At 48.6% G+C, this 15,905-nt stretch overlaps 1 long non-coding RNA gene across 1 annotated transcript in view, besides 3 other annotated features; it reads right to left on the reverse strand.

Annotated features, from left to right (window-relative positions):
• Positions 1-15,905, reverse strand: part of LOC105372687 (uncharacterized) — a 55,307-nt gene that overhangs the window by 13,743 nt on the left and 25,659 nt on the right. The window contains exons 6-9 of the long non-coding RNA XR_007067670.1: positions 14,381-14,521; positions 6,130-6,283; positions 1,905-2,244; positions 403-498 (exon numbers count right to left, since the gene is read on the reverse strand). This is a non-coding gene — a long non-coding RNA (uncharacterized LOC105372687). The remainder of the gene's footprint in view (positions 1-402; positions 499-1,904; positions 2,245-6,129; positions 6,284-14,380; positions 14,522-15,905) is intronic.
• Positions 2,461-3,428: an enhancer, noted in NCBI's record as "H3K4me1 hESC enhancer chr20:55865617-55866584 (GRCh37/hg19 assembly coordinates)". NCBI's record gives its function as "activates a minimal SCP1, AML or CMV promoter by ChIP-STARR-seq in naive H9 embryonic stem cells {active_cell/tissue: H9 hESC(naive)}" and the evidence as "EXISTENCE:reporter gene assay evidence [ECO:0000049][PMID:30033119]".
• Positions 4,247-4,746: an enhancer, noted in NCBI's record as "H3K4me1 hESC enhancer chr20:55867403-55867902 (GRCh37/hg19 assembly coordinates)". NCBI's record gives its function as "activates a minimal SCP1, AML or CMV promoter by ChIP-STARR-seq in naive H9 embryonic stem cells {active_cell/tissue: H9 hESC(naive)}" and the evidence as "EXISTENCE:reporter gene assay evidence [ECO:0000049][PMID:30033119]".
• Positions 13,187-13,722: an enhancer, noted in NCBI's record as "H3K4me1 hESC enhancer chr20:55876343-55876878 (GRCh37/hg19 assembly coordinates)". NCBI's record gives its function as "activates a minimal SCP1, AML or CMV promoter by ChIP-STARR-seq in naive H9 embryonic stem cells {active_cell/tissue: H9 hESC(naive)}" and the evidence as "EXISTENCE:reporter gene assay evidence [ECO:0000049][PMID:30033119]".

Raw genomic sequence — 15,905 nt, forward strand, 5'->3', positions numbered from 1 at the left:
TGCCTCGGACCACCCTAGAGGGTAGGTGCCAAGATTACCACTGAAAAAGCTGCGGCACAGAGAGGTTAAGCAGCGTCCCCTGGGTCACACAGCTCCATCATGAAGCTGAACCCAAATGCATTTTTTCCTCCAAAGCCTGCTTGCCTCCCCCAAGACCTCTCCTTCCTCACCAAGGAATAACACTCATGAGCAAGCAGCCATAAATCAAAACAAATAAAACATCTACTTTGAAGTGCTGCCGTGGCGCTTCGATGAGATAAAGGGCACGGAAGATTCTGGTTCTTGATTCCTGAAGAAACACTTGCCCATTTCCTGCCTCTCCCAGCTGGCAAGACATATTTGTAAATACCGAAGTCAAAGATTCAAACAGATTAGGGTTCAAATTGGGCACAAGTCACTTACTGGCCATGTGATCTGGGACGGGCCACTTAACTGTTTCTAAGCCTCAGTTTTCCTCATCTGGAAAATAGGGCTCATGGCAGCACCTACCTCATGGGGCTGTGGAGAGAATTAAGGGAGAAATAACAGTGAGTACTCGATAAATGTCATCTATATTTTTAAAACAAAACAAAACAGTAATAAGCTGGCAGAACTACAGAGGATGGCGGAGACTGCAGAGCGCTTGCCAGATGGTGTCTTTGCTGAAAGAGGAATTTTCTGATCCAGCCTGAAGACAGCCCCAAGTGACTTTCCTCAGCATTTGCTCTGTGCCGGGCAATGTGCTACGTTCCTTCCAGGAACTGGCCCAAGAACATTGCCACTGTGCTCTCACTTAACCCCTGCGACAGCCCTAGGAACAAAGTCTGGGTGTGAGCTCCGTTTTTCAGACTGGAAACTGAAGCTTGGAGAGAAGTCACTTCTTCAAGGTCACACACGAGGGCGGGGCAGTGAGGATGTAAACCGAGGCCAGTCCAAAGCACGCCTCCCCACCTCCCGACCCAGCTGTCCATCACTCCAGGGTAGCCACTTCCTGCCATGTTATATTCATTAAAAGTTTAGAATCCACCTACTATGCGTCAGCCCCTGAGTGATCTAACACTATCATCGGACGGCACAGGGGTGACGTGCCAAGCTGACACCTTTGCTGTTTAAAAGGGAAAGGAGAGCAAATGACCTAATAGGTAGCAGACTTTGGGAAACCCGCTGGGACTCCTTCATAGCTGCTCCCTTAGCAATATGGTTTGCAGCAGCGCTGTCATAGGAGAACACGGGTCTGGGTTCTTAAAAAAACCCACATCCCACAAAGCAGCGGGGCATCCTCTGCATGGGGTGGGGGGTGCTCCACCCCCCACCCCATGCAGAGTAGAAGCAAATCCTGAATTCTTGCAGTTCCCCAAAAACGCTTGTCTGGTCAGATGTTCCAACCTCCTCAAGGGTGCCTGGAGACTGGGCAATTCTTTGTCATGTTAATGAATCATTTTAATAGAGTGTTTTAACAAAAACATTCATCACCTTTTGTGCAACAAGGATTTTCTTTTTTGTTCTACTTAAATGGTTAAGTAGGTAATAAACGCCTATCAGCTGCACCACCACAGCCTGGTAATCCCTCCAAACCCTAAATCATAGGAGGATTATTATTGTCCTGATAAATTAACACTCAGAGAAAGCTGGTGGGCCAGGGTTTGGAGCTGTCTGTCCCACAGGAAAGAAAAGCTGGGTTTTCTTTGAGCCGAGTTCATCAGCTGACCAGCTGACTGCCCTCCAGCCTGGGCAACAGAGTGCAGTAGACCAGGGAGGCCCCACTCCCATCCACTGGGCCCCTGCTGGCTGCAATGCCACCCTGGGGATGGGCGCTTCTCTCTCCCTGCAACTCCCCACTCTCTCCATCAGTTACAAAAGGCCCTACAAGGAATCTGGCCCTTTGCTGAATCCTGGGGCAACCAAAAGAAGGAAACAGACGGTACCTTTGTCCTCAGGGAGTGACAGGCTCCTGAGGGAGCCTGGCAAGGCTGTCCAGGGCCCCAATGCAATCGCCACTGTGGTTGGCACCAGGAAGGAGCCGGGCAGAGGACTGGCTCCCTGGTTTAGGGAGGGGGCTTGGCAAAACTCCGTGAGGAGGAGACATTCATCTCAGAGGCTGGGGTGGCTCTGATCTCCTGCGGGGCCTGGCTGAGCCACACTTCCAGAACTGCCTTCCATGTGGGTTTCTGCTGCGAGGCTGTTTCCAGAGGCTGCTGTCACAAAGTTCTGAACGCTTGGATGGCTGAAAACCACGGAAATGTGTTCTCTCACAGTTCCAGAAGCCTGGAGGCCAAAATCAAGATGTCAGCAGGGTAGCACTCCCTCCAGACCTCTGGGGGAGGAGCCTTCCTGGCCCCTTCCAGCTTCTGGTAGCCCCAGGCGTCCTTGGCTGTGGCTGCATCACCCCAATCTCTGCCTCTATTTCCACCTGGCCATCTTCTCCCTGTGTGTCTTCCCGTCGTCTTCCCTCTCCAGGTCTGTGTCCACGTTTCCCTCTCCTTATTAGGACAGTTCTACTGGATCAGGAGCCCACCCTATTCTAAATGATCTCATTACCTCAATTAATTACACGTGCAATGACTCTAATTCCAAATAACGTCACATTCTGAGATCCTGGGGCTTAGCATCTCAACATATCTTTTGGGGGATACCATGCAACCCACGAGAAGGAGGCCAGGAGAGAGACCCTCGAGTGAGACCTGGAGGGTGAAACCACCTCAGCCCCTTGCAGCACGTACACACACATGGTTGCTCTCCACTGCACACTGCATGGCCCGGGGCAGCTACCAGCCTGCTGCTGCTCCACCTGGCCCTGGCTCCTCCTACAGCTTCTCCAGGTCCAGGTGTGTGCTCAGCTTCGTGATAAAGGGCCCAGTGCTGGTGACATCCTCATCATCATGGTGAGAGGCAACAAGAATGGATGCGGGGCTCAGTCTGTCCTCAGGGCACCAGCTCGTGCCGTCGGTCCCAGCTTCTCCCTCCTCTCCCCATTTTGCATCCACCTTCCTTTCCCAACTGTCTGTTCTTCTGACTCCACGCACCTGGACCTGCCCAGGTCTCTTCGGGTCCCCCTTTCTGCTTTTGTGCTCTGCTCCCAACTTCCACAGCCGGTGCCCGGTGCTCTGTGCCACAGATGCTCCCCCTGCAGGTGCAGGGAGCGGGACACACCTGGTCCCCACCTTCCCGAAGCCTGTAGCCAGAGACTGAAAGCCTAGCCCTGCCTTCAGGCAGGCCAAGCTCTGGGTGTTATTCACAGCCCAGAACTCCCTGGGATCAAGTGAGGCTGGGATTGTGCCTAAAATCACACAGATTTCCTTGATGTTTTCCCTTCTCGGTTCTGCTTTCCTGACTCCAATAGTGGTTTCTCCTGGACATGTATCCCCAATAAACCACCAGCGTGTGAATCAGTGATTCTGGGTCTGCAGGGAAACTTGCTCTAATGCAAAGATATTTAGCAAAGTGATTTCAAACAGCAGGTTAGGAGTCAAACAGCCTGTGCTGACGCTTGTGGAAGGTAAGACCAGGGGCTTAGTGAACAGGTGAGTGCACCTGTGTATATCCTGGGTGCCACCCCATCCGGCCACACTTTGTGTTAATGGGGGACACACAAAGGGGAGACCTTAACCCATAGGACCAGTAGGTCTGATCACACAGGCTGCCCTGCGCATGTGAAAAGTGGGAGCTGAGATCAAGCCCACTAAGACTGTCGGGAGGAATGGACATCTTTGCTTACTAATTTGTGTTTTGAAAATAATTTTAGGCTTGCAGCAAGGTTGCAAAACCAGCAGAGTTCCTATCTGCCCTTCACCCGGCTTCCCCTAATGTTAGCATCTTGCATAATCATGGTACAAGGGCGTCTTTTTAAAGCTCAGCTAAGGTACCCATGGCTAGCAGCTGGACTCCACCCAGAATGAGTAGGGGAGGCGGGGAAAATGTCACCTCAGATCTGAAGGATGGGTAAGGTTCCCCAGGATGATAACCCTACCCCACCCCAGAAGCGGGGAAATGTGTTCTGGGACAGACAGAGCATCCTGTGCAAAGGTTCAGAGCAGAAATCCTGTGTCCATTGTGCAGCTGTGGGAGGTGATGTGAGGGGGCCCTAGGGGAAGCAGGAGACAAAAGGGGCTACCAGGCCCTGGCAACCACACGATGCTGCAGCCAGGGGGACCAGGGCAGGTTCTCAGGGCCCTCTCCCCACCCCAGAGATGGCTGTCTTCACTCTAAGAGAATGGAGAGGGGGTAAGCAAAGGATCCACAAACATACAAAGACTCCACAGAGAAGCCAGGGTCCCAGGACCAGACTCATGAACAGGGGCTGGGGTCACATCCCAGCTGGGGCAGCCCTCTCCAAGCAGGAAAGGCAGCACCCCAGGGCTCAGTGGGCCCCTGGTATGTGTGTTTGCGGCAGCAGGGGGTGGGTGGGGGATCTGAGCAGTCTAGGCTACCCCTTGGGGGCTGACTCCACCCCATCGTCCTTCCTCAGTGGCCAGGAAGCCATCCCCCTCCCCTTCTTTCCTGTCTCACTCTTCCTCGGAGGTCCCTCCCAGACACAGCTTTGTCCACATTATCAGTTGGTCACCCCCAACTCTACCCAGGCCTGTGCTGTCTCTCCTTAGAAATAAGTCTGTCTCCTTCCTGATAAGCCCTGAGGGAAGGAGACTGTCCTTCTTTCTCCCCAGCCTCAGGCCCACATCTGGACATCCAGAGGCACCTGAGAAGGCTGAGGTGCTGATCTAATTAGCTGAGTAAAGCAATTGGCACTAAGCTGTGGGTGGCCCAGGCTGCACCTGGGGCTGGATGCCGGGAGGCCACAGAGTGAAGCTGAGGAGCCCAGACCAGTGTGCAGGGGAGGGGACAGCGGATGGGGAGGGGCACACAGATGGCTGCCCCAGGAGGTACTCACCTGGAGGCTATCTCAGAGCAAGGATCCCTCCCATCTCCCTTCCTCAACTTTGGGGGAATCTCTGCCCTCCCTCCCTTCCCACTAAGTGGTATCAAACCCTCGCCTGGAGGACAGTTTTGCCCTCTCACAGATAGAAGCCTGCTCAACTTTGACATCTGTGCCGAAATCATCCCAACCACCCCCATAGATCTCCAAGGGCACTGTCACTGCCATCCACAAATGACACCAAATCCACCAATGATGTACAAAGGGAATGCCTGGGGGAGAGGGGTCATCTAGTGGACCAGGAGTCTTGGGTGCCCATAAACTTCTTAAACCACTTTCATGTGAATTCTCTTTAATTCAACAGATCATAATTCCAAATCTGGTTATACCAGCAGGCTGATCACAAGTGAACATTTAAGCTCTGTGCCTTGGTTTCCCCAACAGTAAAGTGGGGTAAGGAGGGTTCCTACTTAATGGGGTGGCTGTAAGTATTGCAATGGCAGAATCTACATGAAGTGCTCGGTCGTTGTGAGCTGTGGGCCTCTGTGTTCTGCTTCTGCTATAGTGGAGGAAGGCCGAGTTCACAACAGCACACCTGGATACACTCTTTCTGGAAGTCGGTGTTGGAATATGGGTCAGAAGGTGAAACATACTTCTTACCAGCCATGTGATCTCAATTATTTAACCTCTCCGTGCCTCCATTTTTACACCTGGAAATGGGACTGACAATGCCTGATTCATAGATCATTGTGAGGATCAAATTAATTAGTAAACGGGAAGTGCATTAAACCATGCCTGGATCCAGTGGGCACTTGATTGATATTACGGCTATTATTTGGCCCAGATTCTATTTTTACAATTGTAACTCCAACTTTCAATTTTACAATTCCTCAAGTGTCATATCATATGCGTATAATGCTGTTTGTTGCTGCAGAGCTATTTGTAATGGCAAAGAATTGGCAGCCACTTAAATATCAAACCATGGGGTGGGAACAATATACTGTAGATCAGCTGTCCCCAACCTTTTTCGCACCAGGGACCAGTTTCATGGAAGACCATTTTTCCACGGACTGGGAGGAGGTGGGGGGAATGGTTTTGGGATGAGGCTGCTCCAGCTCAGATCATCAGGCATTAGTTAGTCTCATAAGGAGTGTACAGCCTGGATCCCTCGCATGTGCAACTCACAACGGGGTTCATGCTCCTGTGAGACTCTGATGCTACTGCTGATCTGACAGGAGGCGAAGCTCAGATGGTAATGCTCACTCTCTGCCAACACTCACCTCCTGCTGTGTGGCCCCATTCCTAACAGGCCACAGACCGGTGCTAGTCCTCGCCCAGGGGTTGGGGACCCCTGTTACAGATCATCCATATGATGGGATTCTTTGCAGCGGTTAAAAAAGGATGACTCTATTTGGAATAATGTCCAAGATGTGCCTAAAGTTAAAAAGGAAACAAGAAGAAGAAGGTGACTAAACAATATGCAGTTATTCCATTTTAGTTTAAAAAATATGGTCAGGGTAGGCAAATACATTCTAAAGGAATTTTCACAAACTGCTCATTTCTAGAGAAAAGGATTCACTTTCTCCACTTATGTTTCTATATTTTTATAGTGAGAATATATGACTTTTGTAATCGACAAATAATATCATAACAAGAAGTGCACATTAAAATGAAAATGGCCATGATTGCTGTCTTTGGAGGAGGGTGGGAACAAACCGTGAAATACTGTGACTCTGGAAAGGGGGAGAGCCCAGCTCCAGAGGTCAAATTCCACTGCAGTGACCTGGAAAGGGCTGTCACATACTTTGCAAAAGGAATCTCAGGGCATTGAGTGTGACTTTAGGTAGGTGACCCAAGGGCTGTGCTAGGAGATATGTTGCTAATCAGAGGTGCAGGCAGACAAGGAGTGGGGCCTGCCGTGCTCCATCAGCCCCCTCAGGACACCTAGAGAGACCTGCCAGCTGCTCAGACCAGGGAGACTTTGATCTAAGGGGCAACAGATGAGATTCTCCCTCCTTGGGATGTGGCCACTTCAAAGTGGAAGAGCAAAGAGCAGATTGGGGGACGGAAGGCTGAGGTGGCACAATCCTCCTTTCCCCCCGTCTTCCTTGCACACAGCTTCTTCTTCAGCCATTCTGGGTTCATGAAATGTCACAGAGCTGTCCAGGTCCTAGGCATAACCAGTGCTACCATTGTTGAGGGCTTTCTGCAGGCAGGCACTGCGCACTAAGCACTGTTTTATTTTATTTTTTTATTTTATTTTATTTGAGACAGACTGGCTCTGTCGCCCAGGCTGGAGAGCAGTGGTGCAATCGTAGCTCACTGCAACCTCCACCTCCCGAGTTCAAGCAATTTTCCTGCCTCAGCCTCCCGAGTACCTGGGATTACAGGCATGCCCCACCACACTTGGCTAATTTTTTTTTATTTTTGGTAGAGATGGGGTTCACCATGTTGGCCAGGCTGGTCTCAAACTCCTGTCCTCAGGTAATCAACCTGCCTCGGCCCCCCAAAGTGCTGGGATTACAGGCATGAGCCACTGCTCCTGACCACATTAAGCACTTTCTAAGGCTCACTTTCTTCCACCTCCTGAATAAGCCTGTGGGTTATGTTATTATCCCCCATAGTACAGTCCAGAGCCTGAAGCTCAGAAATTTAAATATTTTTTACAAGTCACACAAATAATAAATTGTACATTTTGCAAATCTTACAAATTTGTGCACTTTTTTGTACAGATTACAATTTTCACAAACTGTAAAACCTGGAATTTCAATTGATTTTGTGTTGAAACCGTCATAAACAATAAATCAACCAACCAGCAAACAAGAATGGTGTTGCGGGAAAGCTCTATAGAGACTCATTTCATTGCCTAACAAATATTAGATTGAGCATCTTTTATGCACAGCATACTGTCCAATTGTTCTAGGTCCTGAGATGCCTCCTAGTACTTTTATTTTTATTTATTTATTTATTTTTTAGATGGAGTTTCATTCTTTTTGCCCAGTTTGGAGTGCAATGGTCCGATCTCAGCTCATTGCAACCTCTGCCTCTTGGGCTCAAGTGATTATCCTGCCTCAGCCTCCCAAGTAGCTGGGATTATAGGCGCACACCACCACGCCTGACTAATTTTGTATTTTTGGTAGAGACGAGGTTTCACCATGCTGGCCAGGCTGGTCTCAAACTCCTGATCTGCCCGCCTAGGCCTTCCGGAGTGCTGGGATCACAGGCATGAGCCACTGTGACCACTTCCTCCTAGTACTTGAAACAGTGCCTGACACCTAACAAGGACCCCAAGTGATATTTCTGGTATTTCTGAATGAATGAAAGAATGAATAAGTAAATATGAATGATAATTTTTTTAAGACAGGGTCTCACTCTGTCACCCAGACTGGAGTGCAGTGGCTTGATCATGGCTCACTGCAGCCTTGACCTCCCAGGCTCAAGCAATTTTCCCACCTCATCTTCCCAAGTAGCTGGGACCACAAAGCCTGTGCCACCACACCCAGCTAAGTTTTTTAGTTTTTGTAGAGACAGGTCTCATTATGTTGCCCAGGCTGGTCTCGAACTGCTAGGCTCAAACGATCCACCAGATTTGGCCTCCCAAAGTGCTGGGATTACAGGCGTGAGCCACCGTGCCTGGCCAGTTCTGCTCTTGAGCAGGACCAAGATCATTTTTGTACAAGGTTATTTATTGCAATTCTCTCTGTAGAAGCAAATGATCAACCAGCACCTAAATATTTCCAGCAAGGCGGCCTCATCACGGCACATCCACTCATGAATTTCATGTCCTGAAGTGAAAGGAGCTTTGAAAGACGGCTCAATGGAAAAAGCAAGACGCAGAAAAGAGTGCATAATATTCTGCCGTTTGTGTTAAAACGGGGACTATATATATACATATACATATATTTGTATTGCCTTTTATCTATAAAAAATATCTGGGAGGATAAATAATGAACTATTAATAGGGCTTTCCTATTGGGATGGGAACTGGGGTCGATGGACGGGGGCAGGGTGGGAGGGGGGTTCTTAGTGTTAACTTTTACATACTTTTCGAACTAGAAGCTGTCTGAATGTTTTACCCACTCAAAGTGCTAAATAATTTTTATTGAAATTCTGTTAGTTGAATTTTACTAAAATTCTTTTAGGATAGCCAAAAAAAAAAAAAAAAGCTTAAAATACCAACTATTGATGAGAAGGTGGTGCAGCTGGAACCCTCCTGCGTTTCAGGGTGGATGCTCCATGGGCTCCACCCCTTGGGAGCTGCCGGGCAGCACCCACTCAAGCTAAGTGCACACTCTCCTTGAGGGCATGAGCAAGACAAGTGCACGCACATCGGCACAAAGAGAAGCACAGGACTACTCAAAGCAGCTTGGTTCCTTAGAGCCAAGAACTGGAAACAACTCAAATATATACATCAAAAATAGAATGGATAAATAAGTTATGGTAGTCTGGGTGCGGTGGCTCACACCTGTAATCCCAGCATTTTGGGAGGCCGAGGCAGGCAGATCACAAGGTCAGGAGTTCAAGACCAGCCTGACCAACATGGTGAAACCCCATCTGTACTAAAAATACAATAAAATTAGCCAGGCATGCTGGCGTGTGCCTGTAATCCCAGCTACTCAGGAGGCTGAGGCAGGAGAATCGCTTGAACCCAGGAGGCAGAGGTTGCAGTGAGCCAAGATTGCACCATTGCACAGCCTGGGCAACAGAGCGAGACTCTGTCTCAAAAAAAAAAAATTATGGTATATTCATCAGTAGAATACTACACAGCAATGAAAAATAGCAACAACCATCAATGAATCTCATGGACGTTGTGTTGAGACAAAGAAGCCAGACACAAAACAGAACTTACTATATGATTCTATTTACATAAAGTTCCAAAGCTAATCGACAGTGAGAGAATTCGGTACAGTGGTTACCTTTCCGCTAGGATGGGGAGAAGTGCTGCCTGGAAAGGGGCTCAAGAAAGTCCTCCGGGGTCATGGAAATGTCCTATCTCTTATTCCATATGTATGGAAAAATTCATCAAGCCATTTATCTAACAATGTGTGTGCTTGATGTAAAGTTTGTAACTCCATTAAAAAAATATCCAGCCTGGGCAACATGGTGAAACCTTGTCTCTATAAAAAAAAATACAAAAATTAGCTGGGCGTGGTGGTACATGCCTATAGTTCCAGCTACTAGGGAGGCTGAAGTGGGAGGATCACTTGTGCCTGGGAGGTTGAGGCTGCGGTGAGCCATAAGCATGCCACTGCACTCCAGCCTGGGTGACAGAGTAAGACGTTGTCTCAAAACAATAAAGTATAATACAATAAAAATAAAAAGAATTCATCAGAACAATTTGACAGTTCCTCAAAAAGTTAAACAGTTATGACATGACCCAGTAATTCCACTCCTAGGTATATAACAAACAGAATGGAAAACAGGGGCCCAGACATATATCTGTACACAAATGTTCATGGTAGCATTATTTGTAATAGCCAAAAGGTAGAAACAACCCAAATGTCCATCCAGAAATAAATAGATAAACAATTGTGGCATAGCCAGGCAACGGAATATTATTCAGCCGTGAAAGGAATGAAGTTCCAATACATGATGCAATATGGATAAACTTTGTAAACATGCTAATTGAGACAAGGTGGACACAAAAATCACACACTGTTATGATTTCCTTGATATGCAATGTCCAGAATAGGCAAATCCAAAGAGACAGAAAGATGAGTCATTGCCAGGGGCTGATGGGAGAGAGATGAGGACTGACTAGGTAACAGGTGCAGAGCTTCCGTTTGGGGTGATGAAGGTGTTCTGGGACTGCAGAGTGGTGATGCATGCACAGCGAGAATGTATTAAAAGCCACTGAATTGTACATTTTAAAGTGGTTAATTATATGAATTTCACCTTGCTTTTTTTATTATTATTTCCTTTTTTTGGCCTTCAACTTTTATTTTGTTTTGTTTTGTTTTGTTTGAGATGGATTCTCACTCTATCTCCCAGGCTGGAGTGCAGGGGCATGATCTCAACTCACTACAACCTCCACCTCCCTGGGTTCAAGTGATTCTCCTGCCTCAGCCTCCCAAGTAGCTGGGATTATAGGTGCCTGCCACCACGCCCAGCTAATTTTTGTATTTTTAGTAGAGATGGGGTTTCACCATGTTGGCCAGGCTGGTCTCGAACTCCTGACCTCAGGTGATCTGCTCGCCTTGGCCTCCCAAAGTGCTGGGATTACAGGCGTGAGCCACCATGCCCGGCCTGTCTTCAACTTTTATTTTAAGTTCAGGATGTGCAGGTTTGTTGCATAGGTAGATGTATGCCATGGTGGTATGCTGCCAAGATCATCCCATCACCTAGGTATGAAGCCCAGCATCCATTAGCTGTTCTTCCTGATGCTCTCCCTCCTCACCCCCCAACAGGCCCCAGTGTGTATTTTCTGCCCTGCCCCCCCGCCCCCGCCATGTGTCTATGCATTCTCATCATTCAACTCCCACTTATAAGTGAGAGCATGTGGTGTTTGGTTTTCTGTTTCTGTATGAGTTTGCTGAGGATAATGGCTTCCAACTCCATCCATGTCCCTTCAAAGGACATGATCTCATTCATTTTTATGGCTGCATGGTATTCCATGGTCTATATGTAGCACATTTTCTTTATCCAGTCTATCATTGATGGGCATTTGTGTTGATTCCATGTCTTTGCTATTGTGAATAGTGTTGCAATGAACATACGCATGCATGTATCTTTATAATAGAATGATTTATATCCCTTTGGGTATATGCCCAGTAATGGGATTGCTAGGTCATATGGTATTTCTGCCTCTAGATCTTTGAGGAATCGCTACGCTGTCTTCCATAAGACACTTTTTAATGGGGTTGTTTGTTTTTTTCTTGTAAATTTAAGTTCCTTGTAAACTCTGGATATTAGACCTTTGTCAGATGGATAGACTGCAAAAATTGCCTTCCATTCTGTAAGTTGTCTGTTTACTGTGATGATAGTTTCTTTTGCTGTGCAGAAGCTCTTCAGTTTAATTAGATCCCATTTGTCTTACTTTTGTTGCAATTGCTTTTGGCATTTCATCATGAAATCTTTGCCTGTGCCTATGTCCTGAATGGTATTGCCTAGATTTTCTTCTAGGGTTTTTATAGTTTTGGGTTTTACATTTAAGTCTTTCATCCATCTTGAGTTAATTTTTGTAAAAGGTGTAAGGGAGGGGTCCAGTTTCAATTTTCTGCATATGGCTAGCCAGTTCTACCAGCACCATTTATTAAATAGGGAATCCTTTCCCCATTGCTTGTTTTTGTCAGGTTTGCCAAAGATCAGATGGTTGTATCACCTAGGTTTTTAAAAAGAAAAAAAACAATTAAAAAAATCCCCCAGGAAGTTTCAATGTTGAAAACCCAATTTGCTGCATCTCAGGGGTCAGGTAGAGCCAGATTTTCCTCTAGCAAGAGAAAGGACACTGTGTTGTCCATCAAGCGCTGGCTCTGCCATGGCCCTGCATCCAGGGCCATGTTAAAGTGTAGGCATCGGGGGACACGCAGGAGGTGCGGCAGGGGCAGTGCTCTGTGGCCGCTGTGGATGTGGTCTTCTCCAGTGCTTACAGCCCGACTGTACCTCTGCAGCTTTCTGGCTGGGGGATCAGGGTCAACGTGCTTATTCTCTCTAAGCCTCTTTCCCCCTTCCATAAAACAGGAAAAATAACAATGCTTACCTCACTGAGTCACATAGAATAAGGTGGGCTAGGACAAGTGAGGCTCTGAGAACATGACTGGCCCATTCTAAGCCCTCAAAGGATTCAGTTTTTCCTGCTCTCTGTCCCACAGGACACTCACTGAGTAAAACGACAGGAGGAATCACCAAATATCTCGGTTTTTTTCAAAGTGCATACCACTGAATATGATGAATTAAATTCACGCCTATCATGACTTCAGTCCTCTACAATCAACCCCATTTTGGAGGCTAAGGCTCTGTTAGGAGGAGGGTTCACCCTAAAATCTGCAGAGTGGTTGAGCTGAACGACAGTCCCACTTTGAGTCCATCTCACGCTGGACCTCTCTGGAAAAATCGTCCAAAAATAGGTTCTGGGTCAGGCTACATTTTCCCTGGAAGGCTCCAAGAATGGTTTGCCCAGTGCTCTGATCCTGAGGTTGCAAATCTCCCCCAGCTGCAGAGAGTGCCCCCAGGCATGCTCCCCTGCCCAGCTGTGAGGCAGCTGCTCACGGGGCTCTCAGAAGTACCTTCCTCGCACCTGCCGCAGGCCCGTGTGACTCTCTTTCACGCACGCATCGTGTTACAGCCTCGCGTTCAGGCCCTGCGGCTGCTTTCATGTGCACTGCTGCCACGTCTGCAACTTGCCCTCCTTGGGGCCCGTGGCACCCACCATGCACCAAGCAGTCTGTCAGCAAGAGCCAGGTGCTCAAAGAGAAGTGAGCTCCGGTGACATCCAGGGGACTGCATGAGGCAGACCCCCAGGGAGTTGGTGTCGAAGCCTCCTTCTCCCGCTCCTGTCCCCACTTCCAGTCTGCAACCGCGCTCTGCCAATCTCATCCCCCAAGGAGCCCCCAAATGCATCGGCATTGCTGTGGCCCTGTCACCACCATCTCAACCCGGTCAGTGCTGCCTCTCCCTGGACAGCTGTCCCTCGATCTGCGATCACTTCGTAGCTATCCATTCTCCACGTTGAGTCCAGAACCATCTATGGAATCATGAATAGCAGCCAATCACAGTGAGCCTCACTAACTTCCAGGTGCTGGTCTAAGGGCATCGTGCACATTAACCCATTTCAGCTTCTTTTTTTTTTTTTTTTTTTTGAGATGGAGTCTCGCACTGTCACCCAGGCTGGAGTGCAACGGCGTGATCTCGGCTCACTGCAAGCTCCACCTCCCGGGCCCATGCCATTCTCCTCCCTCAGCCTCCTGAGTAGCTGGGACTACAGGCACCCACCAGCAAGCCCGGCTACTTTTTTGTATTTTTAGTAGAGATGGGGTTTCACCATGTTAGCCAGGATGGTCTCGATCTCCTGACCTCATGATCCGCCCTCCTCGGCCTCCCAAAGTGCTGGGATTACAGGTGTGAGCCACCGTGCCTGGCCTTTTTTTTTTTTAGATGGAATCTTGCTCTGCCTCCCAGGCTGGAGTGCAATGGCACAATCTCAGCTCAGTGCAACCTCCACCTCCCAGGTTCAAGCGATTCTCCTGCCTCAGCCTCCCCGAGTAGCTGGGATTACAGGCGCCTGCCACCATGCCAGGCTAAATTTTGTATATTTAGTAGAGATGAGGTTTCACCATGTTGGCAAAGCGGGTCTCAAAGTCCTGATCAGGTGATCCGCCTCCCTCAGCCACCCAAAGTGCTGGGATTACAGGCATGAGCCACCGCACCCGGCCCATTTCAGCTTCTTAACCAACCCATGGCGGATGGTACAGAAGAGGAAACTGAGACCCATACAATAAATAACGTGCTTTAAGTCCCATATCTCAAAAGTGGTAGTAGCAAGACGTGAACCCAAATCGTCAGATTCCAAACCACCTACTGTGAACCACACACCATGCGCGCAGAATGTCTGGGGCTCTCTTTGCATCCATGTCCAGCTAAAGTGGCTTTGCAGGGGCAAGATCTGTGTTTCCAAGGATCCTTCTTTCAGGGGCTTCAGGTTAGTTTTTGCAAGGAGAGGTTCTTGTGAGAAACCTGGACAGTGGAAGAAAAGAAGGAGCTGCTGATCTCCGAGGCAGCTGCAGCCAGGCCCACAGGAGACCTGAGGATTCCCAGGGGCTTCCCAGTGATCTCCTGACAACCACACACCCAGAGCTTCTTCTTGAGCCCTCTGTGAAGCAGGCCATGATCTTTCCTGGCAACATCTCCATCCTTCACTACCTTTGCTCCTGCAAAAGCCCCCAATTCCTCGATTAAACCCCACAAACTTGGAGTACCTAGAGTAGCTTCTATTTCCTAAGCTCTGATCCACTGCCATCCACTATTGATGCCTGAGGCATACTGATCATTTCAACCCCCACCTCACGATTGCTCTTAGACAAGGACCAACACCCGCACCAGTCCTGCAGGTGCTACTTGCACCGCTCCACGGTCCTCTCCAGTCTCCTCTCCCCATTTCCTGTCCTGTTCCCGATACCTCTCTGCTGTCCAGCCTCACCCACTTCTGAGGTCACCATCCTTCCTTGGAACATCTGCACCTGCAGTACCTTTTGCCTGGAACTCTCTTCTCTGCCACTCAGACCAGGTAACTTCTCATCTGTCAGACTTCAGCTCAGACATCACCTCCTCCATGGAGCCATCCCTGATTCCCCAAGGGGGAATTCCTCAAGGGATGCCCTCGAGGTTTAGGGCACTGGTCACATTGTTATTTGTGTGGTTGTGATATGGTTTGGCTGTGTCCCCACCCAAATCTCATGTTGAATTGTATTAAGATAATTAATAGTTCCCATAATCCCCATGTGTCACGGGAGGGACCTGGTGGGAGGTAATTGAATTGTGGGGTGGTTACCCTCATGCTCTTCTCATGATAGTGAGCGAGTTCTCACAAGAGCTGATGGCTTTGTAAGGGGCTTTCCCCACTTTTGCTCAGCACTTCTCCTTGCTGCTGCCATGTGAAGAAGTATGTGTTTGCTTCCCCTTCCGCCATGATTGTCAGTTTCCTGAGGCCTTCCCAGACATGCTGAACTGAGGGTCAATTAAACCTCTTTTCTTTATAAATTACCCAGTCTCGGCCAGGCGTGATGTCTCACGCCTGTAATCCCAGCACTTTAGGAGGCTGAGGTGGGTGGATCACCTGTGGTCAGGAGTTCAAGCCTGACCAACATGGTGAAACCCCATCTCTACTAAAAATACAAAATTACCCGGGTGTGGTGGCGCATGCCTATAATCCCAGCTACTCTGGAGGCTGAGTCAGGAGAATCACTCGAACCCAGGAGGTGGAGGTTGCAGTGAGCCGAGATCACGCATTGCACTCCAGCCTAGGCAACAAGAGTAAAACCCCATCTCAAAAAAAAAAATTACCCAGTCTTGTGTATGTTTTTATTAGCAGCATAAGAACAGACTAATACAGGCTGATTCT

Source organism: Homo sapiens, chromosome 20 (assembly GCF_000001405.40).
Source record: "Homo sapiens chromosome 20, GRCh38.p14 Primary Assembly".
Taxonomy (NCBI): domain Eukaryota; kingdom Metazoa; phylum Chordata; class Mammalia; order Primates; family Hominidae; genus Homo; species Homo sapiens.